We start from the raw sequence: 18385 nt of genomic DNA on the forward strand, positions 1-18385 counted from the left end.
TCTGGGCTTTCCATTCCGTTCCTTGATCTATATGTCTCCCTTTAAGTCAATACCACACAGTTTTGATTATTATAGCATTTCAGTAAGTTTTGAAAATCAACAAATGAGACTTCCAACTTTGTTCTTTTTCAAGATTGTTTTGTCTATTCAGGAGGGCTCCTTGAGATTCCGAATGGATTTTTCTATTTCTGCAAAAAACATTGTTCAGATTTTGAGGAAAAAATATCATCTTTTAAAAACACATTTAGGGCCGGGTGCAGTGGCTCATGCCTGTAATCCCAGCACTTTGGGAGGCCGAGGCGGGCAGATGACCTGAGGTCAGGAGTTTGAGACCAGCCTGACCAACATGGAGAAACCCCATCTCTACTAAAAATACAAAATTAGCTGGGCGTGGTGGCACATGCCTGTAATCCCATCTACTTGGAAGGCTGAGGCAGGAGAATTGCTTGAACCCGGAGGCGGAGGTTGCAGTGAGCCATGAACGGGTCACTGCACTCCAGCCTGGGCGACAGAGCGAGACTCCGTCACAAAAAACAAAACAAAACAAAACAAAAAACACATTTAGGCTGGGTGCAGTGGCTTACGCCTGCAATCCCAACACTTTGGGAGGCTGAGATGGGCAGATCACTGAGGTCAGGAGTTTGAGACCAGCCTGGCCAACATGGTAAAATGCTGTTTCTACTGAAAATACAAAAATTAGCTGGGCATGGCGGCAGGCGCCTGTAATCTCGGCTACTCGGCAGGGTGAGGCAAGAGAATCACCTGAACCTGGAAGGTGGAGGCTGCAGTGAGCCAAGATCATGCCACTGCATTCCAGCCTGTGCAACAAAGCAAGACTCCTTCTCAAAAATAATAAAATAAAATACACATTTAGGCCGGGCACAGTGACTCACACCTGTAATCCCAGTACTTTGGGAGGCCGAGGTGGGAAGAACACTTGAAGCAAAGAGTTCAAGCCCATCCTGTGCAAAAAAGCAAGACCCTGTCTCTACAAAAGATTTTAAAAATTAGCCAGGCATGGTGGTGTGCACCTGTAGTCCTAGCTACTTGGGAAACTGAGGCGGGAGGATTACTTGAACCCAGAGTTCCAGGCTGCTATGATCACACCACTGCACTCCAGCCTGGGTGACAGAGTAAGACCCTGCCTCAAAACAAAAAAACACTTTAAATCGTCCTACCAGCGACCGACATTTCAACTGCTGCTTCTGAGGCTCATAGTTGTAGCGATCATTTGTGTGTATCTTTCTTATCCACAACCGTAGCATTTTTCACAAGGAATTTATCCTTGAGAAATGTAAAAAGCATGTAAAATTTAAAGCTAACAGAACTTGAGCAAACAATAGACTACTCAATAATAATTGTTGGATACTGCAATACCTCACTTTCACTAATGGATAGAACAACAAGACAGAATACCAACGAGGAAAGAGAAGACCTATATAACACTATACACCAACTACATCTAATGGACATCTTACAGAACATTCCACCCGCATCAAGAGCCGAATATACATTCTTCTTCAGGACAGACCATATGTTAGGCCAGAAAACAAGCCTCCATATATTGAAAGGGATTGAAAGAATACCAATTATGTTCTCCAACCACAATGGGATGAAATTAGAAAGTAAACAGAAGATTGGGGAATGCACAAATATGCAGAAATTAACACACTCCTAAATAATCAACACGTCAAAGAAATCCCAAAAGAAATTAGAAAATACTTTCAGATGAATGAAAATGAAAACACAACATATCAAATCTTAAGAGGTACAGCTAAAACAGTGGTAAGAGGGAAATTTATAGCCATAAACACCTATATTAAAAGAATAAAATAAAATAAAAATCACCAATCACTAACATAACCTTCTACCAAAAGAAACTAGAAAAATAGCAAACTAAACTCAAATGAGGCAGAAGGAAGGAAATAAAAAAGATTAAAGTGGAAATAAAGGAAACAGAGGAGAGAAAATAGAGAAAACTCACCAAAACTGAAAGTTGGTTCTTTCAAAAGATGAAAAAAATTGACAAACTTTTAACTACATTTATGAAGAAAAAAGGAGAGAGGATTCAAACTACTAAAACCAGAAATGAAAAGGAGATATCACTATGAATCTTACAGGAATAAAAAAGGTTTATAAGGGAATACTAAGAACTGTAGGCAAACAAATTATATAACCTAGATGAAATGAACAAATTTCTAGAAACATAAAAACTACTAAAACTAACTAAAGAAAAAAACGTTTGGGTGGAAAATTCCAAAACTAACATCTGTGGCTATCTCTATAGTTTCTAACAATGCAGCTCAAGAATTAGCACCTGGCTAGGTGCAGTGGCTCACGCCTGTAATCCCAGCACTTTGGGAGGCGAACATGGGTGGATCACCTGAGGTCAGGAGCTCAAGAACAGCCTGGCCAACATGCTGAAACCCCATCTCTACTAAAAACACAAAAATTAGCCAGACATGGTGGTGGGAGCCTGTAACCCCAGCTACTCGGGAGGCTGAGGCAAGAGAATCACAAGCCCTGGAGGCAGAGGTTGCAGTGAGCCAAGATCACGCCATTGCACTCCAGCCTGGGCAATAAGAGCAAAACTCTGTCTCGCGGGGCGCGGGGAGAGAAAAAAAAAAAAGGATTAGTACCATAATAGATGGAGTTCCTTCAAATTTCCTCTACAGAGTTGAAGGATCTCATCCTCTATGGTAAGGCATAAGCAGACAAATCTTATGTTAAGAGAATCTTGCTTTGAAGTAACCTCTTGGTTAGACACTTCTTGTGCCCCCACCTCACACTCTGTTAAGTTCACTATTTATTCTAGCTATTGCTACAGCATCCAGCTGCACATAGGTGTGATTTGACAGCACTTTGTATCAACCAAACCAGAGTTTTCTGCCCTACAACTTCTCTGACACCAAGAGACAAGACATCTGCATCCTGGCACCACACATGTGCAAATCCAGAAGTACAAGAGTGTTAGGCCCAGGAGGCAGAGCTTGCAGTGGGCCGAGATCGCACCACTGCACTCCAGCCTGGGCGACAGAGCAAGACTCTGTCTCAAAAAAAAAAAAAAGAGTCTTAAGCAATGAGAGATGGTAAATGGTGAATAAATGTTATCCACTTCTATAACCAAGATACTCAGGTAGTGAACACTGAGAGGCATTCTATACAGGTCCTCAAAAGACCCCAAAAGACTTAAGCCCACTTTGCCCACAGCAGTGACTAGGTCAGTAGTCATACTTCACTGTATTCTTTTCCTCTAATTTCACTTTTCCCAGTATCCCACTCTTGTGCCCTGGGGCCACTTCCCAAAATAAACTACCTACATGCAAAGCCCTTGCCTCAATATGGATTTTCTCTCAGTAACTAGAACTTAAGATAGGTTTTTTAAAAAGTCTTTAAAAGCTGGGCATGGTGGCTCATGCCTGTAATCCCAGCACTTTGGGAGGCCGAGGTGGGTGGATCACCTGAGGTTGGGAGTTCGAGACCAGCCTGACCAACATGGAGAAACCCCGTCTCTACTAAAAATACAAAATTAGCCAGGTATGGTGGCGTGTGCCTGTAATCCCAGCTACTTGGGAGGCTGAGGCAGGAGAATTGCTTGAACCCAGGAGGTGGAGGTTGTGGTGAGCTGAGATTGTGCCATTGCACTGCGCTCCAGCCTGGGGAACAAGAGCAAAACTCCATCTCAAAAAACAAGAACAAAAAAACCCAAAAAACATCAGAAGGCTGGGCGTGGTGGCTCACACCTACAATCCCAGCACTTTGGGAGGCAGAGGCAGGTGGATCACCTGAGGTCAGGAGTTCGAGACCAGCCTGGCCAACATGGTGAAACTCCATCTGTACTAAAAATACAAAAAATTAGCTGGGCATGGTGGCGGGCACCTGTAATCCCAGCTACAGCAACTTGGGAGGCTGAGGCAGGAGAATCGCTCGAACCTGGGAGACGGAGGTTGCAGTGACCTAAGATCGTGCCATTGCATTCAAGCCTGGGCAACAAGGGCGAAACTTCGTCTCAAAAACAAAAACAAACAAAAAAAAATCAGAATTATATTTTCACTTAAAGCTCAAGAAGAAGCTATTTTGTCTTATTCAATACAAAGCCCCAAAAGAAACTGAAATAACGTGGCTTAGAGTATTAATTAAATGCTTGGCTTAGAAAAGGATTGTAGTCCATGAGCTGGTTTCAATGGAGTCCTAAACACTCTAAACGTAAATGTAACATCTTGTATATGGGTATATGTGGACTTTTCTGAAGAGAAATTCTGTATTTTTATTAGAAAACCATGAACCAAAAAAACTTTAAGAAACATTACGTGCTGTTAATTTGCTGATGTGTCTCCAGCATGCAACTCATTAACTGGAAAATGAAAGAAAAGAAATAAAACTTTGTTCCAGGAATTTGGTGGAGTTCGGATGGATGTCTTGCTGTCTATACATAGCAACATAATGTGCAGCTTATGTCTGGGCTCCACTTGTGAGTTATGATGCCAATTTACAGCGTGGCTCCAATAGCTGTTCAGAAACTCTAACACACCACAGATTTATTTATCTGTTAATATTTCACATTTTTGGTGCTTTTGCATTTTTCTGATGCTAAATCCTTTGCATCCTACCAGATGAGATAGTGATGAAGCACACAGAATACCTTCTGTGTCATGATATTCTAAAAAAGTAGATTTACTGTTTCACTGCTGGCATGACTTTACACATGCAAACAGTTATCACAATAGTAAACTGTTTACCTACTCTAATTACGATGGAAACAACCAGTAACACTGCCATTTGTACAGCACTTAGTGCAATGTGTCTAGCCCCAAACACTATAAATAAGAGTAATTTACCTCCATGGTCGCACAGAGCTTTATCCCACAAATAATTTGTAGTTAAGTCTTGTTAAACCTTCACTGTAATGGAAACGGCATCAACATAAAATTGAGGATAATACAGTATTACACATGATTTAGGAATGAAACTAACATTCTGTGCCTGCTGGACCAGTCCTGTGTCTTTGCCTAGAACACCCTCTAGCCTCCCACCATATTATCAAGTCAATAAGGAGGAAGAATCCAAATGAAGCCAGGTTTCACTTCGCATCAGGGATGAGGACAATAACAAAATTCAAGAATTGCTTCAATTACCAAAAGCTTTAAACCTAGGGTATGTATAAGAAAGTTAATGGTCAATTATTCCTTATAGTATTTAAAATCTGTGCTTTAAACCTGAGAACAGATTACTGAGCTGTTTTAATAAAAAGGAAATCTAAAAACATTAAATTAAGTGTTCTTAACTAAAATGTCTGCCAAGCTTAAAAAGTTCCTTATGCTATGCAAATTACTTAGATATAAAATATTTTTAATGTCTTAATTCAGTCAACATATTGTACTTGCAACCCTACTGTAAACAAACACTAACCCAGAATGGCTAGGGAACTGCGCATTTTGTTGAATTCTTCCCAGATACTGCATACTGGGTTATCAAATAACAAAGTTATCAAATTAAATGTTACTGAATGTAGTAAATTTTATCTGATAATTCAGGAGGCACTTTAGGAAGACTTTGAATGTGAATTTTAACTGCACTAAACTAAATGTAGTGTTAGAAATTAATAAATGTAGTATTAGAAAGCATCTAACAACAATTGATATACCATGGAAACCTCCTTTTGGAATAACTTCTTCACACCTTTCTGTCAAGTGACTTTCTCACCAAATGACATTAAATATCAGTAGTCATTTGAACTTCTTAACTTTTATAATTCTGGATAAAAGAGAGTTTACAATAACTATCAAAAATCATAAGTGGGCTGGGCGCGGTGGCTCACGCCTGTAATCCCAGCACTTTGGGAGGCTAAGGTGGCCGGATCATGAGGTCAGGAGATCGAGACCATCCTGGCTAACATGGTGAAACCCCGCCTCTACTAAAAATACAAAAAATTAGCTGGGCGTGGTGGCGGGCGCCTGTAGTCCCAGCTACTCAGGAGGCTGAGGCAGGAGAATGGCGTGAACCCGGGAAGCGGAGCTTGCAATGAGCCGAGATCATGCCACTGCACTCCAGCCTGGGCGACAGAGCGAGACTCCGTCTCAAAAAAAAAAAAGAAAAAAGAAAAAAAAATTCATAAGTGAAAATGCTTGACAAAAACTTAAAAGTCCATACAATTAATCCGGGTGGGATTAGAAGCTATATTAGACCTAGAACTTGGGCCTCAAGTCTTTACCCAACTTGTGTTTTAGTAACATTATATTTCAACAATTATGACCCCAACCAAATCCAGTCCATAAGGTGTTAATGTAAGATGTTTATTAGTGGAATTTATTTAGTACAGTAATCACATTAGAAGTCCCAATATACAAACTGTTGAAGTCCAAAGTCACAAAAAATACAAACTTAGGTATACGAATGAAATTATAAAAACATTATTTAAAAACAAAGTTCTACATCTTCAACATTGGGCCAAAAAAGGAAAAAAAAAGAGAGAGAGAAAGAGAAAGAAGGCATATGAAAATCATCACATTTCAACAAAGCAGCCCTGACCAGTCTGGCTGCCTCACCATTGAGATACTGGACCACTTGGGTGTGACCACTATGGCAATACAGCATTTCATTATGGGACTGGCTACTTTGTATAAAACTATATGTGAAACATAAAATTTCTTTCTTTCAAAATGAAACGTCCAAGTGAAACAGATAGAGCTAACATATACCAAATTTTAGCTGGCTGTTAGTAGAAAATTTCAACAATTCTGTAAGTTCAAAAAGGAAACATATTTGAAAAAAACAAATTTCAAACAAAAATAAGCATAACCAAATGGAAATAAAAGAATAAATAAATGTCAATCATGAAGTGTGAGTGTACACAACGGAAAGTCATACCCAGGCTTCTCCACCCATAACTTAGACAGCTACAGGGACTGGTTACGAGCAATAGAAAGATGTCAAACATGATTTTTAAAAATAACTACTACCAGTTTTGAAAAGATCCCTGGCGAAAGAAACCCCAAAATCAACTTAATAAATAACTGTACACCAAAGGGAAAGGGTTGTGTTTTCTTTGATGGTGTATTCTCTATGGCAAGAGAGTTTTAATATTTTATCAACTGCTAAGAAGATAAGCATAACCTCTTTCCTTTAAAACATATCACCCTCAAGTGTCTTCTGTCCAGAATCCATAGAAGAAATTTTTGTCAGAGAATCCAGCCCTTGTGACCAGACCCCTGTAGAAGAGGGAATGCTTCCTAAATTCCGGAAGTCGCTGCAAGGATTCAGTTTAAACTTTCATGATATTCTAATCTTACCATCTCAAAAGTAGTTCTGTATCAGGGGATCTAAAACAATGTATATCTGGCCAGGCACAGTGTCTCACACCTGTAATCCCAGCACTTTGGGTGGCCAAGGCGGGTGGATCACTTGAGATCAGGAGTTCGAGACCAGCCTGGCCAACAAAGTAAAACCCCGTCTCTACTAAAAATACAAAAATTAGCTGGTGTGGTGGCGCACACCTATAATCCCAGCTACTTGGGAGGCTGAGGCAGGAGAACCACTTGAACCTGGGAGGCAGAGGGTGCAGTAAGCCAAGATCGCGCCACCGCACTCCAGCCTAGGCAAGAGTGAGACCCTGTCTCAAAAACAAAAAACAATGTATATCTCAAAATCTTTCTCAGAACATGGTGCCAATTATTTCTTTTAAGCTGAAATAATCTGTACCTTGGGGGTTATAAGAAGCTGCATAATCAGTAAAAGGATAGAAAACTTTAAAGTATTTCAGATTTTAAACCAGAATTCCTCTAAGATTTCAAAACATGGTCCATGTTTTATGTTATATTTCTATAAATACAATCAAAGCATACCATTGTACAGTACTAATCTCAACTGGTTCTAGATTTAAGCAATTAGTTTGAAAAAATTAGGAATGGGAATAAGAAAGTCCTGTTGAAACAATCTTAGATTGTTAAGAGTCCGTCTCCAAAAAAAAAAAAATTTGGCCCAACTTGCAAATAATAAAGGATTATTTAATTTGGAAAAATATTCTAGGATTACTCAGAACTACTCAATTTAAAAACTTAAAATATCTATCATTATTTAGATTTTAGTAAGGTGGAGAGAAACATAGGTAGCCTGTAAGATTAACCTTCCCTAAAAGCAAGCTCAGAGAAGGAAGGAGGAGGGAGAAGAAAAGGAAATTCGCTGCAGTACTGGTGGCCTCAACCCCTTTATGAAAACACATGTTCTCATTTGGTGTTACACTATTCTGATTCATGTTGAACATTTGAAAACCAAAGGAAAAAGGTCAACTAAAAATATTTAAAGGAAAAAAATGTGAGAATGAATCAAATGATAAAATCATAAAGAAAACAAGAAATAAAAGACATTAGATAACCTTTGTAAAAATTACTAAAATTAAAAAGAATTCATTTTGCACTTTGTGTTCACAAAGGGAAATGAGGCTCCATCAAACCCTGCAGAGCACAAGAGGAAGCAGGTTGTTTGCTCAGGCATCAGCAGAAATAGGCCCCGAAGAACTACCCTCAGTTTCTTCTACATCATGTCCAGGAATGAAAAGCAAAGCTCTGCAAAATGCTGAAGGTTTTAGAAGTATAACGATGCTTAGGAAAGATCACTGGTCTGGTGTTGCAGCAGCCCCAGTGTTGAGAGACACGCTAGGCTTCTAGGAGGAGAAAAATAGAGAGGGAGGAAGAAGTAGGAAGGGGAAGAAAAGGGTGGAAAAGCACAGGTCATTAGTAAACAGCAAGTTCAATATCACAAGATGCTCATAAACCAAAGCTATTAATGAAGCTGGTTTGCTCTCGGGACTATAGATAACATTCTGAAGGAAACAGAAATGGGAATTTTCAAAATGGCATTGAGTTAGATGCTCCAGGTAGTGATGGCCAAATTAGAATGAAGTCACCACATGCTCCAAAAACATGCACTGCCATCCCCTCCCTCCACCTTCCCTCCCCAAATAAAACATGCATATTTTCAGTAAAGTATCTTTTTTTTTTTTTTTGAGACGGAGTCTTGCTCTGTTGACCAGGCTGGAGTGCAGTGGTGCGATCTCGGCTCACTGAAACCTCCGCCTCCTGGGTTCAAGCGATTCTTCTGCCTCAGCCTCCCAAGTAGCTGGGACTACAGGCACGTGCCACCACGTCCAGCTAATTTTTGTATTTTTAGCAGAGATGGGGTTTCACCATATTGGCTAGGCTGGTCTCAAACTCCCAACCTCAGGTGATCCGCCCGCCTCGGTCTCCCAAAGTGCTGGGATTACAGGCGTGAGCCACCGCGCCCGGCCTAGTATCTATTTTAATACAGTTAAGTGGTTCAATTCAAAACTCAATCCAGGTGTGCAAACTATATGCTACCTAAGGGCAGAGAGGTATCCAAGAACAGAACGACCTACTCTCATAATGCCACTGGGTAGTTCATAAAGAGCCAGGTTCTTTTTTGTCACAAGGGAATCCTGAAACAGTGAGGGCCAGGATACAGTTTTTACCCTTCTATTCTGTACTACTAAGGCCTGGCAGCGGTAAGCACCTGCTACACAGAGTTTGAGTCTCTTCTGGTCAGGCATGACTTCCTACTGGAGAAGAAATCTACTCGTTTTTGTAGTTGTTTCCTTCCTGGATGAAAATGGCATCCACTCTTTCAACTGCCTAATCAAGTCAATCCCCTCCAGCCTTTCCTTACCCTGGTTAACTGGTTCCTGCTTAAAGAAAGCTGAATTTACTCATTTTTTAAAAGTTCATGTTCAAACTTCTCCTTTAATCACAGGGATATTTGCATAAATGTTTTCTTAAAAACCACATCACATAGATGACTGCTTTCAAAGCAGACACAGAAAGTCAATACTACATTTGACTGAGATTATCAAAGAAATACAAAAACATCAATTCACAAAACTGGAAGATAAAGTGGCATTTCTGGTTGTTTCTAGCTTCTAAAGTAAAGAGTTCCTAATTTATTAAGTTGCTAATAAGGATGTATATGTCACTTGGTAAACATTCACAACAAAAAGAACTTGGTCATCAAAAAATCTGATGTATAAAGATATATACAACTTTCCTATGGTCATAGAATAAAGAATAAATCCTAGAATAGCTGCTATTGCTAACAGAAGGCTTTCTGGAAGCCTTAGAAAAAGAGAAATACTGTGGTGCCTCACAGAAGGGCTTCTCATAGCTGAGGTATGCATATAAGAGAAATACAGAAATATGACAAATCTAGTAACTACCTCCACTGCAATAATATGAATCAAATGTATGGCCCAGTTAAGAGCACACTTGCAGGAAACAATGGGATTGATCATTAGAAGTCAACTCATTTGGGTTAGCAGTGTTGGCCTGATCACAACTGCAAAGTAAATGCAGGTATTTATGAAAATAAAACACGCAACTCTCACATCAGCTACTTAAGAAAATATTTATATAGTATATCCCTGGGACTCCTGCTACTGCTTTGAGAATTTTGCTCACTACAAAGACATTGGGGCAGGGGGTTGGTGCTGGTTATGAGACAGGAACCCACAGAAACTCAATGCTAACTGAAAGAATATCAAAACCCTAGTAAAGAGCTAAGAGTTTAATTAGAAGTAAATTTCAAAAGCAACAGTTAAGGGAAAGATAAAGGAAACACACTGGGGGCAAAATAAATAACTCCTAATTTGTTGTTCACTGGCTTCCTAACATTGAACTGTAGAAAGCTAAACGCAATGTGATTCAGGGAACAGACCTGCTGTTTTAAGAGTTGTAGTGGCCAAATTCCTCCCATGTAACATATTTTGGTGATCATTATTCTGCATCTACAAAAGTATTTTAAGGTTGATCCAGTTCTTGTGTGGTACAGCTCCAATAAATATTCAAAAAATATCAAAGCAAACTCATTATTCTCCTTCCATTGTTGGAGATTTTACATGGCAATGTCCTGGGTTTAAATACCTCCAACAAGAACACTACCACCCTCAGAAATAATTCATATGCTTCCATTAATAATGCTCTTCAAAGGAGATTATCAAGGTGTTCATTGTAAGTGCATCACCTACACATTTGGGGAATCCTGGGAATCACTTACCTGTAGTATCGCTCCCTTCTACTCCATGACCACCATTGGCTAGGAGTGTTGGTTTAGAAGATGGAGTATCTGCAACAATGACAAATAATTACCCATTGTGACAGACAGAAAAATGAAAAACAGATCCAACCACTGTCTTATTAATGGAGTTTTTCTCACTCTTTGTAGCATTAGGTTAAAGCAATTAAAAACTGTTCAAAATTTAAACATTTAACAAAAGGAAACCCAGAAACAGAACTGAACAGAATCATTAATTCCTAGGGCACCCAAGCTCTGTAAAGTACCAGTTCCATAGGAGAGCCCCTCATAATAGCAAGTCTAAATCTTTTTCATTCTGTAAATTATCAAAGATTACCATTAAATTCAGTAAAACCATCATGGAGCAACACAGGTTTGGTATCAGCAATTCAAATCCAAATCAAACGCTCCAAGAACACGAGGGCATTTGTTTTATTATTATTATTATTTTTGAGATGGGGTTTTGCTCTTGTCACCCAGACTGGAGTGCCATGGTGCAACCTCGGCTCACTGCAACCTCCGCCTTCTGGGTTCGAGTGATTCTCCTGCCTCAGCCTCCCGAGTAGTTGGGATTGCAGGCACCCGCCCCCATGACCAGCTAATTTTTGTATTTTTAGTAGAAATGGGATTTCACCATGTTGGCCAGGCGGGCTCAAACTCCTGACCTCAGGTGATTCACCGCCTTGGCCTCCCAAAGTGCTGAGATTACAGATGTGAGCCACCATGCCCAGCGGAGGCCATTTATTAATTACTTATTAATTCCCACACAGGAAATCCAGGGTACCATCATTGCTTCTGGATGAAGATTGCATGGAGGTAACCAGCTGTATTTCTGGAAGCAGAGGACTCCTTTTTTTTTTTCCCTCTTTTTTTTTTTTTTAAGGAAATTAGTTGTATCTTATTCCCTAATGACTAAGGATGTTGAGCATCTTTTCATGTGTTTCTCTGCCATCCCTTTGTCTTCTTTGGTGACTTGAATGGTCAAATTTTTTGACTATTTTAAAACTGAACTGTTTATTTTCTTATTATTGAGTTTTGAAAATTCTTTATGTATTCCAAATATCACTCCTTTATCAGATAAATTTTGTAAAAATTTCTTCCCTGTTTCTAACTTATACTGTATTTTCATTTACTTAACTGTGCCTTTCAAATAGTTTTTAATTTTTATGAAGTAGGTCACAGGATTTTTTTCCCCATGTTTTCTTCTAGAAGTCTTATAGTTTTCATATTTACATTTCATATTGAGGCCTACGGTACATTTTGAGTTAAATTTTGTATATGGTGTAATGATGTGGGTCTAAGTTTCTATTCCTGTACATTCCTAAGTTTCTATTCCTGTACCTAATAATTAGGTGATTAGGTAGTTACCTAATCACCTAATAATTAGGTAATTAGGTAATTATTACAGAGTCATTTGTGGAAAAAGTCATCTGCATTCTATTGAATTGCCTTTGCACCTTTGTAAAAAAATCAACTGACCATATTACATTGGGTTTATTTCTGGGCTGTTATGTTCCATCAATTTGTAAGGCTATCCATTTTGCCAATACCATCCTGTCTTGATTACTGTATTTGTACAGTAAGTCTTCTTGACAGGGAGTCTCTCTCTGTCGCCCAGGCTGGAGTGCAGTGGCGCAATCTTGACGCTCTGCAACCTCCACCTCCTGGGTTCAAGAGATTCTCCAGGCTCAGCCTCCCCAAGTAGCTGGGACTACAGGCACGTGCCACCACGTCCAGCTAATTTTTTTTTGTATTTTTAGTAGAGACGAGGTTTCACTATGTTGGCCAAGCTGGTCTCAAACTCTTGACCTCAGGTGATCCGCCTGCTTCGGCCTCCCAAAGTGCTGGGATTACAGGCATGAGCCACTGTGCCCAGCCATAAGTCTTAAATAAGGTAATATGAGCCCTCCAACTTGAGTCTTTTCCAAAAATGTTTTTGTTTGTTTTGTTTTGTTTTTTCGAGACAGGGTCTCATTCTGTCACTCAGGCTGGAGTGCAGTAGTGCAATCGTGGCTCACTGGAGCCTCGACTGCTCAGGCTCAAGCAATCCTCCCGCCTCAGCCTCCCAAGTAGCTGGGACCACAGGTGCATGCTACCACGCCTGCCTAATTTTTCATTATTATTATTTTTTGGAAAAACGGGGTCTCCCTATGTTTCCCAGACTGCTCTCAAACTCCTGACCTCAAGCAATCCTCCCACCTTGGCCTCCCAAAGTGTTGGTATTACAGGTGTGAGTCACTGCGCCTGGCCTTGTTTTGTTTCTTTGCTTTTCCATATAAATTTTAGAATCAGTTTTTGATTTATACTAAAATTCTTGATGGGATCTTATATGCAATTGCATATAAGACTATATAGATCAATTTGGGGATTGACTATATAGATCAATTTGGGGATGTACAACTTTTTCTGAAAGTCTCTGACTATATCTAACATTTTAGCAACCAGCCTAGCTCTGCAGTCACCTTGCTGACCGAAGAATTCAGAGATATTATTCCTAAGACAATAAGTGAATATCTACAATATATGCTACTAAAATAAAAAATGCAAGATTTTACTTTGGAAGACCACAAACATGCTGTCCAACCCCTTAGTCCTCATAAATACAAGGCAGAAATCTTTCACACAAGCTTCTTGTTGAAAAGATCATTCATTCTGTTACTTAAGAGGAACAGCCAAAGAGAACAATCTAAAAGAACAAGGCAGTCCAAAACCAGAATATAATTTAAATAAAAGAAAGAAATAAGGAAGGAAAGACAACAGAATTCTATTAAATAGCCGCTATGTAACATATACCCTGCTAAGTCTTCACAAACTGCATTTTACTTATCCAGAGAGATGCCATAAATATGCTCCATCCCACATTTGGCATAAGTAAATTCCCTTTCACATTCACACAATAAGCTTATAAGATTTATTCTTCCTCGCTCAAGAAAGAATGCATATTTTTAAAAACTTGCTTCATTAAAGAATGCATATTATAAGAAAATGGAAATTACAAAAACTGATATCCAGCGAGTGGTATAAGAGCAGCTATTACAGTGATAAAACCTTTTAAAATTTGATAACCAGCATTGACAAGGGTAATTTCATTACATCATTTGGGGGAATGTAAATAGGAATAACCTTTTTATGAGACAATTTGGCAGCCTATCAAATTCTGCAATACTCAACTCAACAATCAGTTTTAGGTATTTAGTTCAAAAAGAGACATAAAAGTATAAAAAAGTGAATATAAACAGAATGTTTATGATGGCACTGCTTAAAAACAACAAATGTCCACCAACAGATTATAATATTGTAAAATAGTACACAGTAATAAAAGAAATGAGAGCACTTCGTGTTACCGATACAGGAAGATAACAGGTATCTAATAGCTAAATATAGATAAAGGCCAAGACACCCTAGGGTATGCCTATAGTCCCAGCTATTAGGGAGGCTAAGGCAGAGGGGTGTCTTGAGTCCAGGAATTTGAGACCAGCCTGGGCAACATAGTGTGACCCCATCTCTAAAAATAAATAAATAAATAAATAAATTAGCTGGGTGTGGTGGCACACGCCTATAGTCCTTATCTCGTAATAAAAAATAATAATAATAAAAAAGAACCTGGCCAGGTGCAGTGGCTCAAGCCTATAATCCCAGCACTTTGGGAGGCTGAGGCAGGTGGATCACTTGAGGTCAGGAGTTCGAGACCTGCCTGGCCAATGCGGTGAAACCCCATATCTACTAAAATACAAAAAATTAGCCAGGCATAGTGGCGTGTGAATCACAACTACTCTAGAGGCTGAAGCACAAGAATAGCTTGAACCTGGGAGGCAGAGGTTGCAGTGAGCTGAGATCGTGCCACTGCACTCCAGTCTGGGCGACAGAGCAAGACTCCATCTCCCAAAAAAAAAAAAAAGCTTTATTCCCATATATTTACCTATGTGATTAGGGTTTCTTCACTATGATAGCTACAAAAACAGGAAAAATTGCCAATCCTATTTCATCAGAGAAAGAAATATTGATCCACAGACCCATGATTTAATTGAGAAAAATAACAGACCCCATCATCTCATAAGAAAAGCATTTCCAATAAAATTCAACTTGTATAGTAATAACATCAAAAATTACAACCTATGTTGGCCGGGCACAGTGGCTCATGCCTGTAATCCCAGCAATTTGGGAAGCCAAGGTGAGCAGATCACTTGAGGCCAGGAATTCGAGACCAGCCTGGTCAACACAGTAAAGCCCATCTCTACTCTTCTTGAGGAAACAAATAGGATTAAGTGAAAATGAAGGGAGATTTAAAAAAAACATAATACATGCAATAGACTGATAAATTTCCTCTGGACCAAGTTAAAACACAGAACCTTTGTCACAGGAACTTTAAAAATTAAAATTTAAGTTTACATACATATTTAGTAGCAGAAACATATTAGCACAATCAAGAAAAAACTTTTAAGCATAAAAATATATTACATTAGGATAAAAGTCTGAGACATGTTATGGAAATAAAAGTTCAAGGACTCAAAAGAAGAATTTAAATTTCCAATGATAAAGAACAGCTTGTTCGTATATTTTTAAACTAGATGATGGAAACCAAAATGCTATATATTTAGAAGCATTTGGATACATTTAGCAGAATGAGGTAACTTATTTTTATGTGGCAAAAGTAAAACATTCTCAAAATTACATGTTTTACAACTAAACTTTTGCTACAAAATTTTAGATGTAAACTTAATGTACAAAGAGACAGAATTTATCAGAATTCTGAGTATGTGACCAAAAGTTAAGACCACTACTTTAGACCAAGTTAAAAAGAAAGCTTGATATATACTGACAGAAAGTTTTCTAAGATAATAAACTAAAAAAAGCAAGTTAAAATTCATACGATTTGATTCCATTTGTAAAATGGAATCAAATGAAAGTAAAGCCACTAAATTTTTTATTGTATGTTTGTAACTGCAAAGAATAAAGTCTTAAAAGATCTACCCTTCTTGAGGAAATAAATAAGATTACATGAAAATGAAGGGAGTTTTCTTTGTTTTTTGTTTGAGACAGAGTCTAGCTCTATCGCCAAGACTGGAGTGCAGTGGCGCAATCTTGGCTCACTGCAACCTCTGTCTCCCGGGTTCAAGCAATTCTCCTGTCTCAACATCCCAAGTAGCTGGTAGCTGGGACTACAGGCGTGCGCCACCACTCTCAGCTAATTTTTTTATCTTCATTAGAGACAGGTTTTCACCATATTGGCCAGGCTGATGTCAAACTCCCGACCTCAAGTGATCTGCCTGCCTCAGCCTCCCAAAGTGATAGAATTACAGGCATGAGCCATGGCACCCGGCAAAGATTTTGACTTAATTTTTAAGAGAGAGGGTTTTGCTCTGTTGCCCAGGCTGGAATGCAGTGGTATAATCACACCTCACTGTAACCTCAAAATGCTGGGTTCAAATGATCCTCCTCCCTCAGCCTCCCAAGTATATGGTGACAACAGGTGTGCACCGCCACAGTTGGCTTATTTATTTATTTATTTATTTATTTAATTTGAGACTGAGTCTCCCTCTGTCACCCAGGCTGGAGTGCAGTGGCACAATCTCAGCTCACTGCAACCTCTGCCTCCCAGGTTCAAGCGATTCTCATGCCTCAGCCTCCTGAGTAGCTGGGGCTACAGGCATGTGCCACCATGCCCGGCTAATTTTTTGTATTTTTAGTAGAAACAGGATTTCACCGTGTTGGCCAGGCTGGTCTCTAACTCCTGACCTCAGGTGATCCACCTGCTTCGGCCTCCCAAAGTGCTGGGATTACAGGAGTGAGCCACCACGCCCAGACAATTCTATTTGTATAAAGACAGGGTCTCACTAAGTTGCTCAGGCTGGTCTCAAACTCCTGGGCTCAAGTGGTACTCCTGCCTCAGTCTCCCAAGTAGCTGGGACTACAGGCGTGAGCCACCATGATCAGCCTCGTCCACTGAGCTTTAATTCAATGCTACTTTATTTATTTTGTTGCTCAAATTTTTCCAGTGTTGGCTATTGGGAACTCTTTCAGTTGACTCCTGTGTCCCTCTGACACACTATCTCTGTCATTGTGGGCTTTGGAGCATAACTCCAACAGTCTTTTTATAAATGATCTGTGCAATTAAAGGTAATTTTTTTTTCCAGTGAAGGGCATAAATAATGAGATTTAATTGCGAATAATATGCATAATGGAAGTCTCATTTGCACATATCTGTTTACTTTCTCCCTGCCTTTCCTCCTGCCTCAGCCTCCTGAGTAGTTAAGACTACCACCACACCCAGTTAATTTTTTATTTTTTTTTTCTTTGTAGAGATGCAGTCTTGCTGTGTTGCTGGGGCTGGTATCAAACTCCTGGCTTCAAGTACTCTTCCCGCCTCTGCCTCCCAAAGAGCTAGGATTACAAGTGTGAGTCACCATGCCCGGCCTCCCTGGTATTTTTGACCTAAAATGTGCAAAAGGGAATTTCTGATTCATAAAATGTGACTTTCATATAAGATGCAGCAGAACACATTTCAACTGGCTTGGAAACCAGAAAATTATTCAAAAGCTATTTGCTTAGATACTAAAATAGTAGGTGAAAGTTGGATTAGATACAGGATACATACATAGCCTCAAAATATCTCCTCACAAATTACTTATTCATTACAAGGAGAAAAATATAAATTTTACAGTAAAGAGGCTGGGCGTGGTGGCTCATGCCTGTAATCCTAGCACTTTGGGAGGGTGGGGAGAGCAGATGGCTTGAGCCCAGGAGTTCAAGACCAGCCTGGGTAACATCACAAAACCCTGTCTCTATTAAAAAAAAAAAAATACACAAATTAACCAGGTGGCCAGGGGTGGTGGCTCAGCACTTTGGGAGACCGAGGCAGGCAGATCACATGAGGTCAGGAGTTCGAGACTAGCCTGGCCAATATGGTGAAAACCTGTCTCTAATAAAGATACAAAAATTAGCCAGGTGTGGTGGCACGCACCTGTAATCCCAGCTACTCAGGAGGCTGAGGCAGGAGAATCACTTGAACCCAGAAGGCGGAGGTTGCAGTGAGCCGAGATCATGCCACTGCCCTCCAGACTGGGAGACAAAGTGAGACCCCGTCTTAAAAAAAATTAAAAAATAAAAATAAAAATTAGGCTGGGGGGTGGCTCATGCCTGTAATCCCAGCACTTTGGGAGGCAGAGGTGGGTGAATCACCTGAGGTCAGGAGTTTGAGACCAGCCTGGCCAACGTGGTGAAACCCCATCTCTACCAAAAATACAAAAATTAGCCAGGCATGGTGGTGCATGCCTGTAATCCCAGCTACTCGGGAGGCTGAGGCAGGAGG

At 39.7% G+C, this 18385-nt stretch overlaps 1 protein-coding gene across 167 annotated transcripts in view; it reads right to left on the reverse strand.

Annotated features, from left to right (window-relative positions):
* MAP4 (microtubule associated protein 4) overlaps positions 1–18385 on the reverse strand; it is a 238154-nt gene that overhangs the window by 116112 nt on the left and 103657 nt on the right. For 143 of the 167 annotated variants that reach the window (NM_001384862.1, NM_001384845.1, NM_001384867.1 and 140 more), the window contains one exon: positions 11059–11127. The exons of 20 other annotated variants lie outside the window; for them this stretch is intronic. Coding sequence is in view for 143 of the 147 variants with exons in the window: in NM_001384848.1 (NP_001371777.1) it covers positions 11059–11127 (69 nt within the window). In the remaining 4 variants the exon portion in view is untranslated. Of the gene's footprint in view, positions 1–6272; positions 8660–11058; positions 11128–18385 lie in introns of those variants that run through there. 4 more of the 167 variants (NM_030885.4, NM_001385692.1, NM_001385690.1 and 1 more) reach the window with 1 other exon arrangement.

The sequence above is a fragment of the Homo sapiens genome, chromosome 3 (genome assembly GCF_000001405.40).
Source record: "Homo sapiens chromosome 3, GRCh38.p14 Primary Assembly".
Classification (NCBI taxonomy): Eukaryota; Metazoa; Chordata; class Mammalia; order Primates; family Hominidae; genus Homo; species Homo sapiens.